The sequence below is a fragment of the Homo sapiens genome, chromosome 10 (assembly GCF_000001405.40).
Source record: "Homo sapiens chromosome 10, GRCh38.p14 Primary Assembly".
Classification (NCBI taxonomy): domain Eukaryota; kingdom Metazoa; phylum Chordata; class Mammalia; order Primates; family Hominidae; genus Homo; species Homo sapiens.
Window position 1 is genome coordinate 114,481,109 of NC_000010.11, and position 23,102 is coordinate 114,504,210.

General features: G+C 41.7%; 1 protein-coding gene across 56 annotated transcripts in view, besides 5 other annotated features; it reads right to left on the minus strand.

Moving 5' to 3' along the window:
* Positions 1-23,102, minus strand: part of ABLIM1 (actin binding LIM protein 1) — a 370,264-nt gene that overhangs the window by 49,999 nt on the left and 297,163 nt on the right. For 38 of the 56 annotated variants that reach the window (XM_047425242.1, XM_047425238.1, XM_047425237.1 and 35 more), the window contains 2 exon segments: positions 10,683-10,770; positions 6,850-6,908 (listed from right to left, as the gene is read on the minus strand). In XM_047425242.1, the coding sequence (XP_047281198.1) occupies positions 6,850-6,908; positions 10,683-10,770 (147 nt within the window). 56 annotated transcript variants of the gene reach the window in all.
* Positions 6,603-7,802: an enhancer, noted in NCBI's record as "BRD4-independent group 4 enhancer chr10:116247470-116248669 (GRCh37/hg19 assembly coordinates)". NCBI's record gives its function as "activates an origin of replication core promoter dependent on BRD2, P300/CBP, MED14 and CDK7 cofactors, and independent of BRD4, by STARR-seq in HCT116 cells {active_cell/tissue: HCT116}" and the evidence as "EXISTENCE:reporter gene assay evidence [ECO:0000049][PMID:35650434]".
* Positions 8,712-9,211: an enhancer, noted in NCBI's record as "NANOG-H3K27ac hESC enhancer chr10:116249579-116250078 (GRCh37/hg19 assembly coordinates)". NCBI's record gives its function as "activates a minimal SCP1, AML or CMV promoter by ChIP-STARR-seq in primed H9 embryonic stem cells {active_cell/tissue: H9 hESC(primed)}" and the evidence as "EXISTENCE:reporter gene assay evidence [ECO:0000049][PMID:30033119]".
* Positions 15,600-15,679: an enhancer, noted in NCBI's record as "active region_4082". NCBI's record gives its function as "activates an Ori minimal core promoter by ATAC-STARR-seq in GM12878 lymphoblastoid cells {active_cell/tissue: GM12878}" and the evidence as "EXISTENCE:reporter gene assay evidence [ECO:0000049][PMID:35858748]".
* Positions 15,810-15,909: an enhancer, noted in NCBI's record as "active region_4083". NCBI's record gives its function as "activates an Ori minimal core promoter by ATAC-STARR-seq in GM12878 lymphoblastoid cells {active_cell/tissue: GM12878}" and the evidence as "EXISTENCE:reporter gene assay evidence [ECO:0000049][PMID:35858748]".
* Positions 18,134-19,333: an enhancer, noted in NCBI's record as "CDK7 strongly-dependent group 2 enhancer chr10:116259001-116260200 (GRCh37/hg19 assembly coordinates)". NCBI's record gives its function as "activates an origin of replication core promoter dependent on BRD2, BRD4, P300/CBP, MED14 and CDK7 cofactors, with strong dependence on CDK7, by STARR-seq in HCT116 cells {active_cell/tissue: HCT116}" and the evidence as "EXISTENCE:reporter gene assay evidence [ECO:0000049][PMID:35650434]".

Below are 23,102 nucleotides of genomic sequence, written 5' to 3' on the forward strand. Positions count from 1 at the left end.
GTTTCCATTACAGGTCTTATTATTCTTCAAATACTAACCATTAAAAACACTTACCAGAGCTCTGCCGGTTGAGTAAGTAGATAAATGACATTTTCCATTTACTTTCCATTATGATCCACCATGCACATGGGTCGCCTAGAAGGACAGTGCTGGGAAGCACTTTGTAGCCCCTGCCCTCCCCCCATTCAGCAGGAGCAGGGATGCAACAACTATATTCATCTAATTTGCATTTATCCAAAGCCATGCTCTAAGGAGAGAAACTACAGGCATCTGGCAACTAGATCAGAATGATCTTATGAACACTGATGGGACAACTACTGATATAAGGTGACTGACACCTTATACTAAGTCCTGTTGATGTGGACAGTACCTGCCTTGGGTTTTTGTTGAAGTTCACTAGACAAGGTGGGGATAACAGCTGCAGAAAAAGGAATATTTTAAAACCTGCACATACTGAATGCCCACTGCTAAGCAAAGAAAGAGTGAAATCAACTCCTTTGGAAAAAAGAATTTTGTGTTTGGAGAGGAGGCAGGAGGGTGCTGTGCGCACACACCACTTCTCTGGGGACAGTTTCACAAATGCCATCAGCCGTTATTACATGAAATCTTTCCAGTATAAATCTTTACACCTCTACATTCAGCTGTCTGATGAACTGTAAAGACACACTCAAAAGGATGAAATACTTGGACGAAGTGAAAGCTGGGAGTAAAACAGTATGTATTGTAGTGACATGAACAAAACAAAAATCAAACACCACTAACATTACTTGCTTGTTCTTGACAGACATAAAGCCTCAAATTAGCTCCTTTAAAAATATACACATGGTATTTGTTCGGTATATTATAGATTGACAAGTGCATATGTTATAATTGGTGAATATTAGTTTCAAAGAAAAAAGTCACACCCATTTTGTAGGTCAGTCAATTCATGCTTTAACCTCCAAAGGCATGGCTGAGAAAAACTCCCTTTTAGAATGAAAGCAAGTGACACCCCCCAGATTATTACAGACTTGGTCCTGGGAATACCATGTGCTTTGTGTATAATGAATTACACATGCTCAGTACTGAGTTTTACCTGTAGACAAAATTTGCTATTCATAGAAAACTTCCAAGTGAGTGGAACCAGAATACGTTTTTCTTAGGTAATTCTATTTTCATCATTTTCTTTTACCTGTAATTCAGGCAAAAGGAAAAGATGGAGCTCATTCTCAATATAGATAACAAAAATGACTTTCCTGCTATAGATTTTACTTTCCTCTACAACAAAACCAGGATTTATTTCTGCAGCACAGAGTACTGAATGTCCCTGCAAGGAAGACAGTTTATCTAATAACTAAGGGTACTGAATTTTAAGTGGTGGAAAATGAGCTGCTGTGTAGCCAAAAGTACTTAAAAGATAACATATCTGTGACTTGAGAACTGCATTGCTTTGGAGTTTTCTGGAATCTTAAAGGTACTGGTGAGCCATTCTTCAATCGCCAACGGGTGAAGGGAGACCTTGCCACACAGCCCATTTTCTCTGCCAGGTCCCCAGCTGTTTACAACTTTCTGTGATGGAGCTAAAGTTGACTTCATTGATAGTTACAGCTGGATAATAGGAATCAGATGTCCCTTTTGAACAACAAGATAGGAGGAGAGAAGTTATTGAAAACAGACCTCTCTCGCTCCCTCTCTGTCTCTCAAGATGCTCCAAATCTCTTAAGCTTAAAGGTCTGGGGCAAACTAAAAAATTTCACACTTGATGATGGCATTTTTCTTCAAGTCATGAAAATGTATTACTTGATTGTAGACACAGGCTAACAAAATGTAATACTATTTAACAGTATACTACTGGAAAAAATAAGAAAAAAAAACTATTGAAAAAGTGGCTTCTTGCCAAGTGGAAGCACTTAATTCTGAGCAACACTCATTTAAAGTGGGGACAATCTTTGGCTGTTCCTCTGGATTCATGTGACTTTGACTTCACCGTGTGTGGAAACTCTGCCACTGGAGCTGAAACTTTAACACAGAATGAAGATTGTATGAAAAATACATCATATCATAGGAACCCAGTATCACGGGACAACGCAAGGCACTGAGGCCTGGGGTCAAGAACTGAAGTGTGCAGTTGGCTTGCTGTTTATGACAGCCTGTGCAGTCTCAGACATGCTGCTGTATCTGTCCATTTTTGGTTTTTTTTTGAGACAGGGTCTCACTCTGTTGCCCAGGCTGGAGTGCAGTGGCATGATCTTGGCTCACTGCAGCCTCAACCTCCCCAGGCTCAGGTGATCTTCCCATCTAAGCCTCCTGAGTGGCTAAGAATACAGGCACGCACCACCATCCCTCACTAATTTTTGTATTTTTGGAAGGGTACATATGGGGTTTTGCCATATTGCCCAGGCTGGTCTCAAACTCCTGGGCTCTAGTGATCTGCCCACATTGGCCTCCCGACGTGCTGGGATTACAGGCATGAGCCACCATGTCCAGCCCATCCGACTTCATTCTATCAATGAGGAAACTCAGGGGGTTGACCTCTAAAAGGTTCTCTTCTACTCTAAGCTTCTATACTTCTGTCTTTTCCATCGTGCAAAGAAAGAAGGTGAAGGTTTAACAAAAATAGAAACTCAAACTCTTCTTATCCTTAGCGCAGTTCTGACAGGCACAGAATGTACAGGCACACAGCCCAGCCAAAGTGCTGCAGTGCAACCCTGAATTGTTAGCAGAGCTACAGAACAGGTTTCATCTGGGCTGAGATGAGATTGTAGAAAGTCGCTTCTAGTTTAACAGGCCAAGGTTTCCACTGATTCTCAGAGACCCCTAAAGACGGTCAGGTACACTGTGCATGCAGCATAATCTCCAGCCTGGCTGTTCCTCTGCCGGGCTGGTTGAGTCCTCTCCCTTCCCCTGCAGGATGCCCCGGGCAGGTGGTGCGTCTCTCTTCCTTACACTCCATCAGTGGCCCCCTGACAACAGCCTTAGCCAGTATTTAATGTTCTCCTTCTTCTGCTTCTTTCGGGTTTTTCTCTCACTGTCCCCTTGCAGTATAGCAGGATGAATATGAGTGAAGGGCTCACGGAAACATGGTTTTCAATCCTAGCTCTTCCACTTACCAGTAGAGTAACTCTGGAGAAGTTACCTAACTATGATGGGTCTCAGTCTCCCCATCTGTAAAATGGGAATAAGATTAGCTACCTCGCAGGAATTCTTAGGGAGAGGAAATGAGATTATACGTAAATCCCCCAGTCTCCATAGAGTAGGTGCCTGTTCTCAGTTTCTTCCTTTCCCACTTCACTGTTCTTTTGTTTTTTTTCTTGAGACAGAGTCTTGCTCTGTCATCCCGGCTGGAGTGCAGTGGCGCAATCTTGGCTCACTGCAACCTCTGTCTCCAGGGTTCAAACAATTCTCCTGCCTCAGCCTCCTAAGTAGCTGGGATTACAGGCGCCCACAACCATGCCTGGCTAATTTTTATATTTTTAGTGGAGACGGGGTTTCACCATGTTGGCCAGGGTGGTCTTGAACTCCTGATCTCAAGTGATCTGCCTGCCTCGGTCTCCCAAAGTGCTGGGATTACAGGCGTGAGCCACTGTGCCTGGTCTCACTCTTCCTTTCTTGAGTGAAACCACTCCCTACCCAAGCACTGCCTTTCCCGGCTGCACACTTCACATCTCCTCATCAGGTCCACCACTTTCTCCTCATCCCCTCATGGGCAAATCTCAGCCAGCCTCCAAAAATCAACTCCAAGACCACTTCTCCCAGGAAGCGACCCTGGAAACCTTTTCCTCATCTGACATTCCAAGGAGCATGGCCTACATGAGCCATAGCCTGGGATGGGTTTCTGTACCACTCTTATAATTATTTATCATCTTTTCTTGCCTATGAGGCTGGATCTGCCACATCCAGCCCAGCTCTATACCTGGGTGCTGAGCAGATACTTGTGCAGTGAACAAACGTGGCAACACGGGACCAAAAGATAGCTTCTGATGTGCTTGCTTGAACAGACACAAAGCTTTAGCTGCTGCTCTGAATGAAAACATCCATCCAAGAAGACAACAGCCAGAGTCAGTGTGAGAGGCGCTTGTGGTGTGAGAAAAGCATCTGCTTTCTGCAGGAGCCGAAGAAGTTATGTGAGAAAAGCAGCCCAGGGGAAAAGCAACAGAAGCCTGGGCCCAGGACAGTGGCTTCGAGCCCCAGCCTAGACACAATGCCAACCTGCAGAGACGGAGACCGTCCTGTGCGTCGAATCAGACTTTTGGAATAAAAGAAATCGGATGAAGAACGCCGAATGTTTGGCAGCTGCCATGAAACATGAGAAAAGGGAAGAACGAACACAGAAATAGCCTCAAATCAGAAGAATTATTTTAAAAAATAAAACAAAACAACAACCACCTTAGGTAAAACTAACTTGAGAGTAAACATCAAGTGGGATTCTTTCATTGATGTACATGTGGATTTTTGGGCCCATGTTTAAAAGCATATTAACTGGTCTTCAAGTTACAGTAAATTTATCTAAGCTCCAACCTCCTTCAATTCCTCTCCATTTATTTTGGCTTAGACATTCTTACAATATATAAAGGGTAAGAAAGCCAGTGAAGCCAACTGAGAGCCATCCTTGAGAATCTGTTGTTACAAATGCCCCATGAGTTCTTAAATATAAAAAATGTGGACTACCCAGTGGGTTGCTGAAAGATTCTTAAAACATTTTCATTTTGCTATGGAAACTGCACTAATGTGACATGCAGTGAAAGGCCTGGAAATCTTGGCTCAAGATTTGTGATGTGTAGACACACCCTCAAGAGAGCACAAGATGTATTTCTCTGTTCAAAACGTATTCCCTTTAAACCCTACCAACATCAGTGTGAACCCCGGCTCTGGGTACGTGGGAGCCTCTTCCTCACTTCTGAGCTTTCCAAAGACAGTGACCCAGAGCACTGTCCTGACCTCCCACGTAGTGAATGCTGGGTTTAGGAGAAGAGCTTTAGAATTCTCTGGAAGTCTTACTAAAGGAAGAAAACAATAGCTCCTCTTGGCCAGAATGGGTGGAAGTATTTCACTAGTTGTTTTCATAAGCTTATCCAGAGAGTTTTCCATCAAGATGTTATCAGAGTGTTGTTGGTTTTTAAAAATCATTTTAGTCACATGATTTGCAAACTCAAGCAATCCTGATACAGAAAAGACCCACATTCCACTCAGTCTGGCCTCATTAGCATTCCTCTCTTCATCTCCCAAACGACTTCATCAGAGATGAAGTTAAAATGATTATTAGAAAACCTAAAAGCAACACTGGAGAGAGAGTACAAACTACTATAGCTACTGGGGTGGTTTCTGGGCAGCATCCTCAAGCTATGCTGTGAACTTTACATTCTTACGATAAAAGTCACAATAAGGATGATCATTTATGTTCTCATATTTTATAAAGGTAACTCATTTCCAAAGCATCCATAGTTTCTCAAAAATCCCAGAGTCTAGAGCCCACAACCAGGTGACTACGCCTGTGTGTGACTATCCGGCTGATGGACTTCAGGACTCTGTGTGTCAAAAACAGAGCGCAAAACCACCCTAAGCTTGATGGGCGAATTCCTCTTTGGCTGTTCTTACCTTTATTTAATTATTCAGAGAAAAAGTGTTTTTTTTTCCCCCTCAACTTAAGTATGTTCACAATAATTGTGCATTCTAAAAGCACTGCATTTGTTCAGGGTCACAGGCAAGGGACAAGTTCCTAAAATATCCAAATGGTAAAATGTCTCCCTCTGATTGATGGATGCGAATTGAGGAGGAAAAGAAAAAACAAAAAACAAAGGAAAAATATCTCCTGTGCATACGTGTGGTTCATTCAGAGAATAAAGCAAACACACTAGGAAAATAAGAGCTGTAATTCCCAGGGCGGCAGGCAAAGGGATCTGAAAAAAGGCAGAGCGAATGGGTCTCGTTGATAATCATTGCTCCAAAGCCAAGTCACCCCTTCACAAGTCACACATCAGTGACTAGACCCCATCAGTAAACTGGTCGTGCTGCTGCTGGGGATTGCATACATAGCTTCTGATGCCTGGTAATGGCAGATCGAGAAGAGATTACACTATGCACTAGAATCTGGCCTCCAAAATAAATCCAGGCCATTCTTTTCCCTGAGACAGTAAATAGGGTGAAGTTAAACTCCAGTTTTTCCATGGGTACCACTAAGTTAGGTTAACCCAAGGCACTGGGATTCATTCAGTCTGATTATTGCACTGAAAAATACTTCCTAGCCCGTGTGAAAAATAGGGCATCTGAACAGGACAGAGATTATGATCACAGTTTTACAACTGTGTACAGCGCTTTGCTTCTGAAACATAAAATACTGCCATCTGGAGGTGTTCCGAGAATTGACTAATTTACCTGTCTTGGTTGGTTATTATTTTCCCCAAAGGTTTTATCTGACAAGCCATCAGCTTTTAGAGTCTATTCTGGTGAATTTGGATCCAGTAAATGAGAGACCAGTAAAATGTGCCAATGTAGAGCTGGGGTCAGAGTAGTGCATTATAGACTAAGCACCAAAACAGTCTGGTGAGGTCAGCAGATGCTGCACCTGGAACCTGATGAGTCGTTGTTTTCCCATCTGCATGATTTGACTTTTCTCTTGAATGCTTTTCTAAGAAGCTGACTAGTAAGGCCAAGGCTTACTTTGTCTAACACAAGCATTTGGAATAAAAACCACAGTACGTTTAAGGTAAGAGGGGAACCCTTTCCCTAGCCAAATGGCCTTTGAACTTAGTTTGCTATAAGGGAAAAAGTCAGTAAAAAGTAATTTCACCTAAACCCTAGCCCCAAGAATTAGTGACCACGAGCGTATGGCCTACAAATGCAGCTGGCATCATGTTTTAATTGTGTCCTTACCCGCAGCTTTTCCTCGGTCTTCGTAGATTGCTTACAGTCGGGATGCCAAACGGTGGAGCCTGAGAAGACAGAATGCACTACTAAGAGCCAGGAAAATGGAAAGATACAAAGTCCTCTGAGACAGCACTTCTGAGAATGGCTCCTATCCCTCTTTCCCCATCATAGGAAGGTGTTATTGCTTTATGTCCAAGTGAATCATAACACAAAAATCAGACATGTCCAAAGCCTAAGTGAGTTTTCCTGATCTAGCCCAAGCTTGTTTGATAAAGGTCATAATTCTAGACCACAGAGACCACCAACTGGGCATGAGTCTTTTGATGCAAGAGATATTTAGTTCTTAATCGTGTCTTGTTATTTTTAAACCTTATTATCATCCTTTAAAAGGAATGCCTGAGTGCTTACTACAAGCTGCATTTAATTTAAAAAATAATAGCTATTGTTTATATAACATCAAAACAACCAAGCAGTTTAGTTGACGGGAATAAAGTCAACCAGATAGTCTATGTCCAGAAGCAAGACTTACTGAATTTTTCATTGATTCAATTATACATAGTCACCTACAGAGAAATGAGAAACCAACTAGTAGAAAGGGTGAAAGTTAAATTATAAATCCAAAAATTGCCTTTGGCCTTCAATCTTTTAAGTAATTTTCTAAAAAGTCTTTGCTTTTAAACTAGTGAAGTAACTATTTAGGTGTTATTTTCTGTTCCTGAGTCAACAGTCTCACTTTCTCATATTATGAAGCACTTTAATGCGTGGTACCAGCATCACAGAATTAAACAAAACACTTATCTCCAATAGAAGCTCTTATAAGAATCCAATGCCTGCTCATATGATTTTGTATGACTAGATACATATCAAATATGTCATTTATATGATTATGAGTAAGGCTGATATGTCCATGTAAGGACACATTCAAGTGTGGGGATGGACAGAACTTAAATGAGCACTTAAGAAGACTTAAGAAAATAAAGTTACTATGTTGAAAGCATAAATTACATAAATAAAATTCACAGTATGAATATCAGAGTTTCCACATTTCATGACTTAAATCTTTACCTCATTTTTTTTTCTTTTGAGACAGAGTCTTGCTCTGTCTCCCAGGCTGGAGTGCAAGTGGCACAATCTCAGCTTGCTGCAACCTCTGCCTCTCAGGTTCAAGCGATTCTCCTGCCTCAGCCTCCCAAGTAGCTGGGGTTACAGGCATGCACCACCATGCCTGGGTGATTTTTGTACTTTTAGTAAAGACAGGTTTTCGCCATATTGGCCAGGCTCTTTGGAACTCCTGACCTCAAGCGATCCACCCACCTCGGCCTACCAAAGTGTTGAGATTACAGGCGTGAGCCACCACACCTGGCCAAAATCTTTATCTCTTTTAAGCAACAACCTGTGCATACTTGAAAAGTAACCAAATTAAAATAACTCATGAGTTATTTCACACCACTGAGCTTAACTAATATCAAATTAATGGCAAGAAAAAATACATTTTATATCAGCATAATACTTTAATCCTTATTTAACAATCATTTTTTCCATCTTCTTAACCCAGGGCCAAAATAAACAAACAAAAAATTCAAACAAAAAGCAGACAGACGTATAGGTCCCTTCAGCACTAACTCTGGCTCAAAGGCTAACTACAAAGCACAGGAAATCCTCTGAATGCAGAGGGCCCAGGGGTCAGGTGCAGGCTCAGGAGAAGCATTCGCCGTGAAGGTTCTGCTGAGCAGGAGTCACTGGCCAGGACACCGGGTCTGCGCACAATGGCACTATTGTTCTCCAGAGGTCAGGCACACAAGGAATGTGACTCGGACAGAACATCAGATGCTGAAGAAGATGAAACTGCTCTTTCTTCAAAGATGTGCCGAGAGGGCACACAAAGGCTACGGAAGCACAACTCCAGAAGGTTTAGAGCAATCCCTGGAATTCCAAATGCAGCCTCAACAGATAGCCATTTATTTGTAGCCCGAATGTGCTGCATTTGTGCACTGCTTGAAACCTTCTCTCTCCAGCCTCCAGAACCACTCTGAATTGCAGAGCTGCACCCGGAGCCTCTGAGTCTGTTTCTAGCAGAGACAGGGTTGATTGGCACTCCTGTGTCTTTGCTTTTGAGTGCTAGAATTGACATGCTAAAATCTAAGCCCACAGACCAAATAAAGAATAAATCTGCTTTGTGCTGAGAAATGCAAAGTGACACCTGCCTATTGCCACTGCAGATGTAAGGCCTGTTGTCCTTGGGAAAACGTGTCATATAAATCCCGCATGAGGCCACAGATGCGGGTGCTTGTCACTTGCCTTCATAAGGCCTTTCAAAATTCCGTGATGTTTTTAATCACAGTTTTTCAGAGTGATCATTCTAAAGCCAAAAAGAAGTTTGGGTTGTCAATTTCTCATGTAGCTAGCCTTTTTTAAGGGGAGAGTAGCCAGGCTTTGCTTTAATACTCAAGAATCCTTTCTGTAGACTTTCCTAAGTTGCCTAAAAACAAAATTGAGAGAGCAAAGTGAACAACTCATTACAGGTACACATAGTGCCATGTGCAAAGAGAAATCAAGAAATGACATGCACAGGTAGTTGAGACCCAGTAATTACCACAACGGAACGAGCAATAGCTCTTATGGGTTTTGCTAATTTTATTAATAAACCCTTGTTTGATTAATAACTCTTTTCCAGCTAAAAACAGTAAAATGCTTACACAGATGGTGCTGTTTGACTAGAAGAGAATCCTCTCTCAAAGCCTCTCTGAGAAGTTCCAGAATTTCAGAGAACATAAAAACTGATCATATATATATATATATAATCAGTTTCATAAAAACTATGATCATATATATATGGTCCTTTATATATATATGTATGCTTATTTTTTTTGTCTTTTTTGTTTTTTTTCTTCCTTTTTGTGGAGAACGGGGTCTCGCTATATTGCCCAGGCACGTCTTGAATTCCTCAGCTCAAGCTATCCTCCCGCCTCTGCCTCCCTGAGAGCTGGGATTACAGGTGTGAGCCACCACGCCCGGCATATATATGTGTGTGTGTGTGTGTGTGTGTGTGTGTGTGTGTGTGTATATATATATATGGTCTATTTTATATATATATATAAAATAGAGTTGAGGATTCCCTATGTTGCCCAGGATGGTCTTGAACTCCTCGGTTCAAGCAGTCTTCCCAACTCAGCTTCCCAAAGTGCTGGGATTCCAATGGCTCCCTGGTAAAAAGTACCTCTTTGACACCAGAAATTTCTCTTTCAGAGAGTGGGTTCTCTCTTGTTATCTCCTATTCTCTCTCTGTCTCTCTCTCTCTCAATATAAGAGCTAATCAACTTAATGGGGTGAAACAAGTCTGTGACGTAATTCATCAAATATGAGATTTTCTTTTTGAAAACCCAGAGAACAGCAGCCTGGGAGGCCTCAAAAAGCCCTTCTCACAGGAGAGTAAAAGGAGAAAAAAAGTAGCCATCAAATAAGTAACATTTCTAGAAATTTCTAGAAATTATTTTAATCTTTTGTTTCCTAAGCATATTCCTGGGGAGAGTTGGAGAGGAGATATTGCTGATTTTCACTCTTCCCTCACATCCGAGCCATCAAATGTCGAGTTCCATTCATTTGATTAAGGCAGCATCACAAGTTCATTCGTGAACAGCCTGAGGGGCTCACTGCCAGCATGTCAACTGCTTGGCTGATTAATACTAACTGATGAGGTAACTTTTGGCCATAATCTTCTTGGATTTGGGTAGCCTCACAGCTAATAACATGCCTCCTTCTCTAAAAACAATCAAACAAACATAGCAAGATTTCCTTTCCCCCAGCAAGGAAAACTTCTAGTGTTCTTGAGTCCACCTCACCTTGAAGATACATTTCCTCTCCTTCTGTGAACATCTGGTTGCATCTGCTGCATCGTGCACAGCTGGGGTGGTAATGTTTGTCACCTGCCTGCAAGAGAAAAGGTAGGGAACGTTGAGTCTGCTCCTTGTCATGGATTCCAGAATCTTTTCTGGACTTGATGATTTAGAAGAAAAGAGAGGATGCTGAAAAAGGAAAAATAATTGTCTAATTGACCAAACTTCCTACACCAACAGCCCCGGAAGCTAAAGCCAACTTCACTGAAATCGGGAGGGGCTCCAAGGCCAGCTACTCGTGGCTGCCTGGTGGGGCTGCCTTGCCTCTCGGTGTTTCTGGCTTCTATGTCTCCCTCTTGACCTGGATGGCTGCCACTAACACACCATATGCCTGAGATGAGTCACTCCATCTCCCCAAAACCCCACCTTGTTGGGAGCTAATGCTGTTTCTAACAAACCAACCAAAAATAAATGACCCTTATATTTAGCAGGTTCTTGCTTTCTTGGCTAAACAATCTGAAAATAATAAAATCTACCCCAATGGCATCAAGGTGAGAAAAGCTATAGTAAAATACATCATCCACTGTTTTTATCTCAAGGGGGGCCCTAAGTCTCCTCTATGCAGCTTGCAACAATCTTTTGCCAGTGGCTTACATGAAGAGTTTTCTGGAGAAGGCATTTTACTAAGGTGGCTGTGCATTATTCATGTGCATTTCACATTCCTAAATATGACAGATGCCATCACAGCAGGTGTTGACTTCCCCAAAGCAAAGTGTCACTGGATACAGGGACAATTTTCTAGACAGGTGCCAAATCACATTAGAGTCATGCTCCACATACATGCTTGACAAGAACAAATCCTTTCGTTCACAGCCTAGCAAAAAATCATCACCACCTAAGAACTCTCAGATGGACTCTGATTAAATCATTTCCATCAATCCACCATCAAAACATTTATTCTGCATTAACCATGTACAAGGCAGTGGCCGAGAAAGAGTTAAAAATGACTGTATCCTGCATCAGAACCTGCATGAAACTGCAACAGGAAATCAGATGTCACGTGGTAATTCCTTTCTCATACTTTCCTGTAAAAACTACAAGATCCACTTAGCAACCAGCACGTGAGGTGGTGGTTAGCCCTTTAAGATAATCAGGTGGAAAAAAAAATTGAAGTTATTTAAATTAGAAGTTAGGAATAAAAATCTTTTCAGTGGTGCCTGCCAGAAAATTCCAGAAGTGGTGCTCTTGTCCTCGTCCACATGCTACTTTTTATTTATTTGTAAAATTTTTTACTTTTCTGCAGAAGGAAGGGTAGGGCTGGAGGAGAGTGGCGAGAGAAGGCGGGAAATATCAACACAAAGTAGCTCCTGCCTGTAGGACATCTGAAGTCAAATGTGAGCAGAAAGGAGGAAGAAAGAAGACATTACTCAGTCCTAAGTGCTCAGTTCTAAACCAGGTTCGCTCAGCTAGGATGCCAGTGCTGGGAGGCCCAAGTTAGTCCGGGCAATCTCTGGACTCTTAAGGAAAATGTTAAGTGAAAAAATAAAGGCCCCTTGGCAAGACCATGGTGTCGTCTGCAGTGAAAAGCATACCTCCTGGTAAGCTACAAATAGAAAGAAATGTCTTCAAGCTGATCAAGTGTATTTATCATATTTAGTGGTGAAACGTTCGAGGCATTCTCATTAAAGACAGGAACAAGACAAAGGTGTACACTTTTACCAATATCATTCTACATCATTTTCCTCCTGGCCAATGTGATGTCAAGAAAAATAAGTATAAAGATCACGAATACAAAAATTAAGTCATATGGCTAGATAAAAAATTAACATATAAAAACCATTATTTCCTATTCACTAGCAATAAAAATTAAGTAAATGTAATGGGAAAATGGGATCCCATTTGTAATAACAACTAATAAACCCTCCAATGCAAGATCTACACAAAGCAAATTATGGAACTTAACTGATGAACATAAAAGACCTAAATAAAAATGTATGATATTTCTAGATGGAGAAACTAAATATTGTAAAGATGCTGATTTATCAAAAATGAACCTATTAATGCAACACCCAGTCTAAATACCCACAGGAATTTTCTCTATAGACCTTGACAGGCTGCTTCTGTAAGTTTACGTGACAGAATAAATGCACACACAAAAAATACACTTTTTTGTGAAAGAGAACAGCAATAAGGAAGGATTTTCCCTTCCTGTCATAAAATTTTTTTCTAAGTCTAAAATAATTAAAGTACTTTAGTATGGGCATGGGAGTAGAAAATAAATCAACAGTAGAGAAGAGAGGAACCAGTTGCATAGCCATACATACAAGAGAATTCAGTTTATGATAAAGGTAATGGTTCAAATGAGCCGAAAGAATGGATTAATAAATAGAGAGGACAACTGGTTCTCCACTTAGAGAAAGATAAATCTAGATTCCTAAGTCACAACCTATACAAAAATCAATTCCAGTCTGGGCGTGGTGGCTCATGCCTCTAATCCCAGCACTTTGGGAGACGTAGGCAGGAGGCTCACTTGAGCCCAGGAGTTCAAAACCATCCTGAGCAAAACAGTAAGACCTTGTCTTTACAAATAAAATAAACAAAATTAGCCAGGCATGGTGGCTTACGCCTGTAGTCACAGCTACTTGGAGGCTGAGGTGGGAGGACTGCTTGAGCCTGGGAGGCTGAGGCTGCAGTGAGCTGAGATCATGCCACTGCACTCCAGCCTGGGTGACAGAGCAAGAGTCCATCTCAAAAGCAAACCAAACCAAACAACAACAACAACAACAACAAAACCAGAAAACAACCCCAATAAAGAAGTACTTACAATACTGAATCACATGTAGCCATTACAAGACTGATGTAAACTCATATGTACACACATGGAAACAGTTCAAGCTAATATTACCAAGAGAAAATAATCAAGTGGAAAAATCATGCCTATAAAATAACCACATAAGCTAGTGGCCAAAGCTGTTGAGACACTAGGGTAAGTCTGATTGGATTCAAATCCAGTTTCAGTATTGTGTGATCTTGTGCAGGTGACAATCTCTCTAATCCTCAGCTTCCACATCAATAAAATGGGTAGAAATAATAGAACTTACCCCACGCAGTTGATGAGAGCACTATTAGGAACCTAGTATATTGCCTGGCACCATGTTAAGTGCTTTAAAAGCCTAATTTTCTTCAACCCCCTCATCAATCCTGTAAGGCAGACACTCTTATGATTATTTACATCAACGAGGACACACATGTATATGTATATTGATCTTATATGTGTGCCCTTCTTAGAGAGAAGACAGCGAGAATATACAACTAGTTTGCTGTGGTTACCTTTGGAGCAAGAGGTGAGAGTCAGGAAGAAGTAAAGGAAGGGACCCTCACATTCTCCTTTGCAGCTATATCATCTCAACCCTTTATAACAAAAATATATTTTTGTGTTGCTGTGTAATAAAATAAAGACCAAGAGGAAAAAAAAGTCCATTTCTTTTGGAGCTGTGACACCTGAACTAGAGTGTTTACCCCAGCCCGTACTGGAAATGGGATCTTGGGCAGATCACAAGCTCTTGGAACCTCTATTGTAAAGTAGAGATGATGATGGTGATGATGGTGGTGGTGATGGTGATGATGATAATGATGATGGTGAGTGGTGCTGGGGTGGTAATGATGATGATGATGATGATGATGGTAGTGATGGTGATGGTGATAATGATAGTAGTGGTGATAATGGTGAAGGTGATGGTAATGATGGTGACAGTGATGACAACAATGAAGACAATGATGGTGATGATGATGGTAATGATGATATTGTGGTGACGATGATGTGGTGGTGATGACGGTGCTGCTGCTGCTGCTGCTGCTGACATTGATGGTAGTGCTGGTGATGATACTGTGATTATTCTGTGTCAATTACTCTTTTACGTACTCCATAAACATTTAGTCAATTTGTGTCACAATAACCTAAGAAGGCAGGAAGTATTATTATCCTTATTTTAAAGATGAGGAAGCTGAGGCCTGAAGAGATTTTATAACTCCTTTACAGTCACAGTTAGAACTGGTGGGACCAGGATGCAAACCCAGGCAGTCTGGCTCTGGAGTGAGTGTTCTTACCCAGTACCACCACTAATAACCATACAGTATGTCACTGCTGTAACTACCTCACAATGATACTGGTGTGATGACCAAAAGACATTTTGAAAATGGTGTGACACATTGCACAAAGTAATAACAATAATGATACGAATAACAATGTAATAACTCTCTGCTCAGAGACAGTCCCAAGGTCATTCACAAAAAGAAGGCACATTAGTGTGGTTTGGATGCCAGTAAAAGGCTCTCTGGATGCCCTGGGCAGGCATAGGAGAGTCACTGTGTTCTATTAACTCACAAGATGAAGGGAAATTACATCAACTTATAAGAGTTCTATCAACTCACAAGATGAATGGAAGTTACATCAAGGCCCCATGTGGCAGGACTTCGCTCTATAAATCATTAGTAAAAACACTGCTACATATACACCATGGAATACTATGTAGCCATAAAAAGGAATGAGATCATGTCCTTTGCAGGGACATGGATGAAGCTGGAAGCCATTATCCTCAGCAAACTAACACAGGAACAGAAAACCAAACACTGCATGTTCTCACTTACAAGTGGGAGCTGAACAATGAGAACACACGGACACAGGGAGGGGAACAACACACACTGGAGCCTGTTGGGGGAGGGTGGCGGGGGAAGAGCATTAAGAAAAAGAGCTAAGGCATGCTGGGCTTAATACCTAGGTGATGGGTTGCCAGGTGCAGCAAACCACCATGGCACATGCTTACCTATGTAACAAACCTGCACATCCTGCACATGTACTATGGAACTTAAAAATAAAATAAAATAATTATATAAAAAGAAAACACTGCTAAAAAACCTAACCCTAGCCCATTGTAATGCCAGGGATGTCTTGACCTATGTATTTCCTTCATCCCAAGATGCTGAACATGTCAAGACATTCGGTGAGCCAGAGTCAAAAGGCATTGAGGAGTCGTTCTGTTTTTGCAGCAGTGCAGGCTTGAGAGGCTCCAGGGTCAGATGCTCAAGACAAAGGAGGCCCTCCTTCGCATGTGTGAGACACCCTTCTGTTTCATTTCTCCTTACATAGGCACCCATGATGGTTCACAGAGAAGCCATGTGCACAAGGCCAGGAAAAGTAACAGAGCTGAACACAGACGGCAGTGCATATGCAAATTTACCAAAAATCAGATGTTGCTGAATCAAAATCATTTAAATTGGAGTTATTTTTAGGAGAAGGAGAAGTATTTCAGATCATGAGCAAAATGAAAGACTAAATAGCGCTCATATAAGAAACAGATAATAAGCTTGCAATTCACTGCAGAGAGGATGCTGTTGACTATAAACTTTTAAAGCCCAGCAGGAGCTTTGTTGTGGCAGACAACGGCATGAAGGTTGGTTTACCAGATACCTGGCCCCAGGCACATAACTGGCAGCCGTCCTGCCTGAGCCTGAGTGGCCAGCGGTGCTGCTAGAGAGCTCACCAGAGCGCCATCACTGCTCTTCCCCATCTATCTTTGTACCCTGCTCCTTAAAAAAAATCACGTCCCCATTTCTGGCCGGGCGCGGTGGCTCATGCCTGTAATCCCAACACTTTGGGAGGCCGAGGCGGGCAGATCACGAGGTCAGGAGATCGAGACCATCCTGGTCAACACGGTGAAACCCCGTTTCTACTAAAAAAAATATTAAATATTAGCCAGGCTTGGTGGCGGGCGCCTATAGTCCCAGCTACTTGGGAGGCTGAGGCAGGAGAATGGCGCGAACCCGGGAGGCGGAGCTTGCAGTAAGCCGAGATCGCACCACTGCACTCCAGCCTGGGCAACAGAGCCGGATTCTGTCTCAAAAAAAAAAAAAAAAAAAAAAAAATCACGTCCCCATTTCTGCATTTTCACATATTCAAAATGCTTTTATAAAAAGACTACACTGTGGCTAGCATGAAACTCTATGAACAACTGACAATTTGCTTATTTAGGTGAGTTTTACAAAGTACCTGCCTACACATTTGAAGTGCAAAAAATTGTTTGCCTTTAATAGTGCTGGTTAAATCAGACATCTGTAGTTATTATTGCTATTTAGTTAATCTCTAAATTGAAGTATGAACTTTAGCATACAAACCAGGATTCTGGGGAAATAACATCTACTCTAATGCAAAATTTAGTGTAAGTCACAACATTTTTTATGAAACCCTTTGTCTGGAAGAGCAGAAAAGAGTTCCGAATTCTTTGTGGACATGAGGTACAGGGAAAGGGCTACAAGCTTTGGAATCAGGAAGTCTGAGAATCATACCTCAATTTACCATCCATAGGGCCTCAAATATGTCACTATTTAACATCTCCAAGCCTCAGGACACACATCTCAAAAATGCAAAGGGCCGGGCTAGACAATTTCAAGTCCTCTTCAGCTGTAAAATTCTATGTTTCGGTGTGAAATCCCATACCCTCTACAAGCTCACATAGTAGTGCTAACAGAAGAGCAATTTTGGTAGAGAAAGAACATTCTTGATGGCAGAAAAATGGAGTTTAACCAATGATTCCTCCGTGTCTGTTACCCAGGAGAAATTCTAATGCCCTAAGCCCTGAGCCCATGTAATATGCTCCTGGGAACAGAAAAAGAGAATTGTAATTCTAGAACCCATCCTTGGACAGAAAATCTGCTCATCTGATAACCTGCTTAGCTCCTGGACTGCTGACAGTCCCTTTTAGTTTCTTTCCTTTACCGCCTCCATTTCTCTAGGAGTGCTCTACTTGTGGCATGAGCCCAGGAGATGGGAAGATGGCCCTGAAGTTCAACCTTAATCCACTTATAACTTATGTTCTGCCTACTTTCAAAAAGGACTGGCTGATTCTTATCAGAGAAGGACATGATTTTAAAACAATTGATCAAGAACCTTAAAATTCAAAAGACCCAAGCTCAGGCAAACATGTTTGTTGTGATGTGAGCTTCTTAGCAGATGAGGGCAAAAGAGGAACTGATAGGCTGCCAAAGTCTCACTGTTTGAAAAAATGGCCACACACACTTGTCACTACAGAAGGTAGGTTTCCTGATTCTAAGTTAATAACAGTCATTGTGGGCTGAAGTTCTATAAGGTCTTGCTTTGTGTAAGGCTTTGTATCAAGACTTTAAATGATTCACAACAACCCTATGAGGTAGGTCGGTGCTATTTTCCAGTCTTGTTCTACAAGCAAGGAAACTAAATTGTTTTACCCAAACCCACCAGTGCTTCCAGAAGACAGAGCTAGGGGTAGAACCCAGGTAGCTGACTCAAGGTCCACACGTTAACCCTGTTAAACTACCTCCTAAAAGCACCAAAGGAATTCTCATACAGGGACCCTCAGTTATGGGACAGAAAAACATCTTCCACAGGAATTTCACTGATGATAGGAAGTATTTAAGTAGTTGTTTCTCATATAGACCCTTGAGAAATACCAAAGACGTAGCACTGAAAGATCACTAAATGAAGTCACTTCCATAGAGGAAGTTAAACTATCGAGGACTATGTGTGTAGTTTTGTTTCTTGTTTTATCTTAAAAGATCTAACTTGATTCAGAGATGGTGCTTAGAATCCCCAAAGGAATAAGCAAATTGTTTTCCAGTCCCTAAGACTCTCCCAAACACAGCTCTGGTGGATGGTGATTTCAGACTAAGGATATACAAACACCTAGAGGCTGGTGGGTTGCTTTAGATCAGGAGTTTTCTAACATTATTGCGCATAAGCAACACCCAAGAAGCCTTTTAAAAATGGGTTCGATGGCCTTAAGGTGGGACCCAGATATGAGTGTCTTTATTTTATAAGCACTGAAATGAGTCTATGCAGATCACCATGAGATGGGAAAACACTGGTCTGGGTGGTACCAAAACCACAAACCTGAGGGTGGATGAAGAGATGAGGAAGCCAAAGGGAGTAACAGAGATGTGCTGCTTACGTGGCAGGTGCATGGGCGGAAGGGAGAGGCAGAATCACGCAAGTTCCCTGTTATGCTCCTGCAGAAAGGCAGTGCAGAGGCTGACTCAGCTTTTTTGCGTCTACTGGTTTTTTCACCCTCAACTGGGAGAGGCTTCCAATGCAACTGGACTGGCTTGATCTCTAAGCTAAACACTCACCTGTTCCAGGAGGCTTTTCTCCTGATGCAGCATCATGAACAGGCAGGATAATGAGGGCGTGCCTTGGCCGTAAATATGTATCCTGGGCAAAGGTGAATAAATCAGTCTGCCCAGGCAGCTTTCACAAAGCCTAGAGGGCTCTATACAAGTCTGTGCAAAGCCAATCTGCACAAATGAGAACATCCTGTAGCCCTACAGCCTTACTAACTGCGAGGCTTCTGAGCTCACAAACACTGCTTTAAACACGTGTGCTATGTCAGAGGAAGGGTCAGCAGCTTATCCTTCTGAGTAAGGGTGCATAAACTAGTTTAGGGAGAAATAAACCATTATACTCTAACTTTCATCATAGAGTAGAAAGACATGGGCTTTGGGAGCAAGAGAACCCAGGGCCTAAATTCTAGACTGAAAATTGGACTTTGGGCACTTTTCTGGACTCATTTCTTCACCTGTAAAAACTAGTATAAGAAAACCTACTATGGCCAAAGTGCGATGGTTTGTGCCTGTAACCCCAGCAGATCACTTGAGCCCAGGAGTTTGAGACCAGCCTGGGCAACATGGAGAAACCCCATCTCTACAAACAACACAAACATTAGCTGGGCATGGTGGTACTTGCCTATAGTCTCAGCAGCTGGGGAGGCTGCGGTGGGAGGATCACTTGAGCCCAGAGGTTGAGGCTGCAGTGAGACATGATTGCACCACTGCACTCCAGCCCAGGTGACAGAGGAAGACCTTGTGTCGAAAGAAAAAAAAAAAAAAAAAAGAAAGAGAAGGGAAGGGAAAGGAAGGGAAAGGAAGGGAAGGGAAGGGAAGGGAAGGGAAGGGAAGGGAAGGGAAGGGAAGGGAAGGGAAGGGAGCCTACTACGTAGGATTGTTATGAAAGTTAAATAAACAAAGGCAAGTTGGTAGCAAAGTAACTGGTGCCAATCAAAGCAGGTGAGCTTTCTTCCTCTCTTTCCCACTAGGTTATAAATTCCCTTAAAGAATTGGGCCACACCTGTATCTTCATAACTCTACACCTCCATGCTTCCCACAAGAAGGTGTTCTAGAAGTGTCCAGTGAATTAATATGCCAACAGAAACCTCTAAATAGATTTGCAACCATTCCCTATACAATTACTTTGGCCAAAAGATGAGTAAAAGATCAACTTCTTCTGTGCCTCAGCTATAGTTTCAGTATTTGCTTGTTTCCAGACACCATGATAGGCACCTCACAAACTTTACCCCACCTGACTCTCCCAGCCACAATGTGAGGTAGGTAATATGCCCATTTCACAGATGAGGAAATCAAAACTTAGAGAGATCAGGAAATCACCCAAGGCTACTCAGTTAGCAAGGGATGGAGCTATGATCTGAATCCAGGTCTGTCCAACTCTAGAGACTGTCCAACAGAGCCAATGTTGTTTTCCCAGGCCTCAGGAGCTCAGTTAATATTGGGAAGGCTCTAGTCAAGATCTGCACTGGCAAAGCAGATCTCCCATGACTTTATATATCCTCTTTCAACTTTTTTAAAGGATACAAATAAAAGTTTATTATATAAAATCGAGCCTTCATATTTCACAGTTTGGCAAGGCTAACGACTAGATCATGTTGTAAGTCCTTAACGAAAATTTTACCCTTCCCATTCCCAACTATTAAAATGGCCTAATCAAAAGTTACAAAAAACGAAGCAAAGTACCACTATAAACAACACCAAGTGCTTTAAAGACAACTATTCCAAATGTATTTTTTAAAATTTAGCAGACTTTGTTAGAGCAGTTTTAGGTTCACTGAAAAATTGGGTGGAACCTGCAGAGAGTTCTCATATATCCCTTCTCCCATACACACAGTCTCCCCCACTAAGAACGTCCCCCAACAGAGTGGTGCATTTGCCACAAATTATGAATCTACATTGATACATCATTATCATCCAAGTCCATAGTTGACACTGGTGTTCACTCTTGGTATTGCACATTCTATGGGTTTAGACAAATTTATAGTGACATGTATCCATCATTATAGTATCATATGGAATAGTTTCACTGCCCTAAAAATCCTCTGTGCTCCACCTATTCATCCCTCAGTATTATTTATTGACATAGGTGACCCCCATGGTATGGGATGCTGTGATCCTGAATTCTTGCAAAGCATCCCTGACAGCTTTGGCCTGTCCATCATTTTCAAATTCAACAACAGCAATGTCATGTCTCCCAGGTACCAAACATACTTTGTTGAAAGCGGGAACTGATATGATAGCATGAAACATCATCCTCTCATTAGTCTCTTCTGGTAAGTTATTCAGGAATACAACACAGTCTGGAGGGTAACCAGGGACCTGAGGATGTGGTGTTGAATTTCCTTGGGAGTTAGCTGAATCTGATGTTCCCTGACCAGGCATTTCCTTTGCACTTGCTACATCCTGTTCTATAGAGTTTTTTCTTTTCTTCACCAGCAAAAAAAAGCCATAAATTTTACATGTTATATCAACTCTCTCTTACAAGGTAGGTAGAAAGTCTGCAATACACCTCCCCCCACCTTCTTTGTAGGGGGAAAGAGGTATGCCTTTTTAATTATTTTATTTTATTTTATTTATTTTTTGAGACAGAGATTCACTCTGTTGCCCAGGTTGGAGTGCAGTGGTGCGATCTTGGCTCACTGCAACCTCCTCCTCCCAGGTTCAAGTGATTCTAGTGCCTCAGCCACCTGAGCAGCTGGGATTACAGGTATGCGCCACCATGCCTGTCTAATTTTTGTATTTTTAGTAGAGACGGGGCTTTGCCATGTAGGCCAGACTGGTCTCGAGCTCCTGGCCTCAAGTGATCCACCCACCTGGCCAAATTTTTAAGTAAAATTATTTATTGCAGTATAGCATTGAGAAAAATGCACAAATTCTAAGTGCACAGCTTCATAAGTTTTCATAAATGCAACATACTCTATAACCAGCACCCAAATTAAAAAAGAAAAGAACATTATCTGCACTAAGAAACCCCCTTGTGTCCTCTTCCAATGATGACTATGCCTTCCAATCACTATGTTGACTTCTAACCCCACATGCTAGCTTTGCCTGTTTTCAGTTTCCATCAATAGAAGCAAATATGTCTGACTTCTTTCACTCAACACTTTGTGAGAATTATCCATGTTAGTGTGTGTAGTCATACTTCACTAAATCTCAATTCCTTTGTGGAAATATACTAGATTTTATTTATCCATTCTACTATTGATGGGCATTTGGGTAACTTAAAAATTTTGGCTGCTTTTCTGGGCATGGTGCCTCATGCCTTGGCAGCAATTTGGGAGGCCGAGGCAGGTGGATCGCTTGAGCCCAGAAGTTCAAGACTGGCCTGGGTAACACGGTAAAACCCCATCTCTATAAAAAATACAAAAATTAGCCAGGCATAATGGTACATGCCTGTAGTCCCAGCTAATTGGTAGGCTGAAGTGAGAGGATTGCTTGAGCCTGGGAGGTCAAGGCTGCAGTGAGCCGTGATCATGCCACCGCCCTCCAGCCTGGAACAGAAAGAGATGTCTCCGAAAAAAAAGAAAAAAAATTGGTTTTGGCTGTACTGAATAGTGTTGCTATGAAAATTCCTGCCCATGTCTTTTGGTAAATTATATACATATTTCAGTTGTATATATATACATATATATGCATGGGAATAGAGAGTATGTGGCAAGGTCATAGGATATGTTTATGTTTCGCTTCAGTAGCTACTGCCAAACCATGGTCCAAAGTGGTTTTTGCTTTGTATTACAATTTTAATCCAAGAGGAATTTAAAGGAATTAAGTAAGAAGAATCATATTAACAGCACTTTGCCAAATGGATTCTCAAAGTGTTTTTCTAACCTCTGTGAAGTGAATGATCTTTATAAAATGGTCTCTAAGTAAAAGCTGTGCAGTTTAATCTCATCAGGTATCCATTATTCTAGGACCTCCAGAGTGCCACTGAACAATTTTCAATCCTCCTTTCATCTTCATCCTTCTGTTGCTGGTATCCTTTGAACTGATGGAGAGACATGGATGGCATGCGAATAACCTCCATATTTAATTCCTAAATTGACCTGATATTAGCAAGCAAGGGTTGACATTGCAATAGTTGGATAACTTTCTGTAAGTGTTTGTCATGAAGCCTCAAAATTGGCTTCTTCTAGTCAGGACCAAGGCTCACTGAAAACACAAAAAAATTGGGTTTAGAAGTTTGAGGACTTTGGCGGTGGTTACCAAACGATCAACTTTTTCCTCTCCTGATTGAGCTTAAATATTTCTTCCCTTATCAATTACTTTTGTTAACAATAC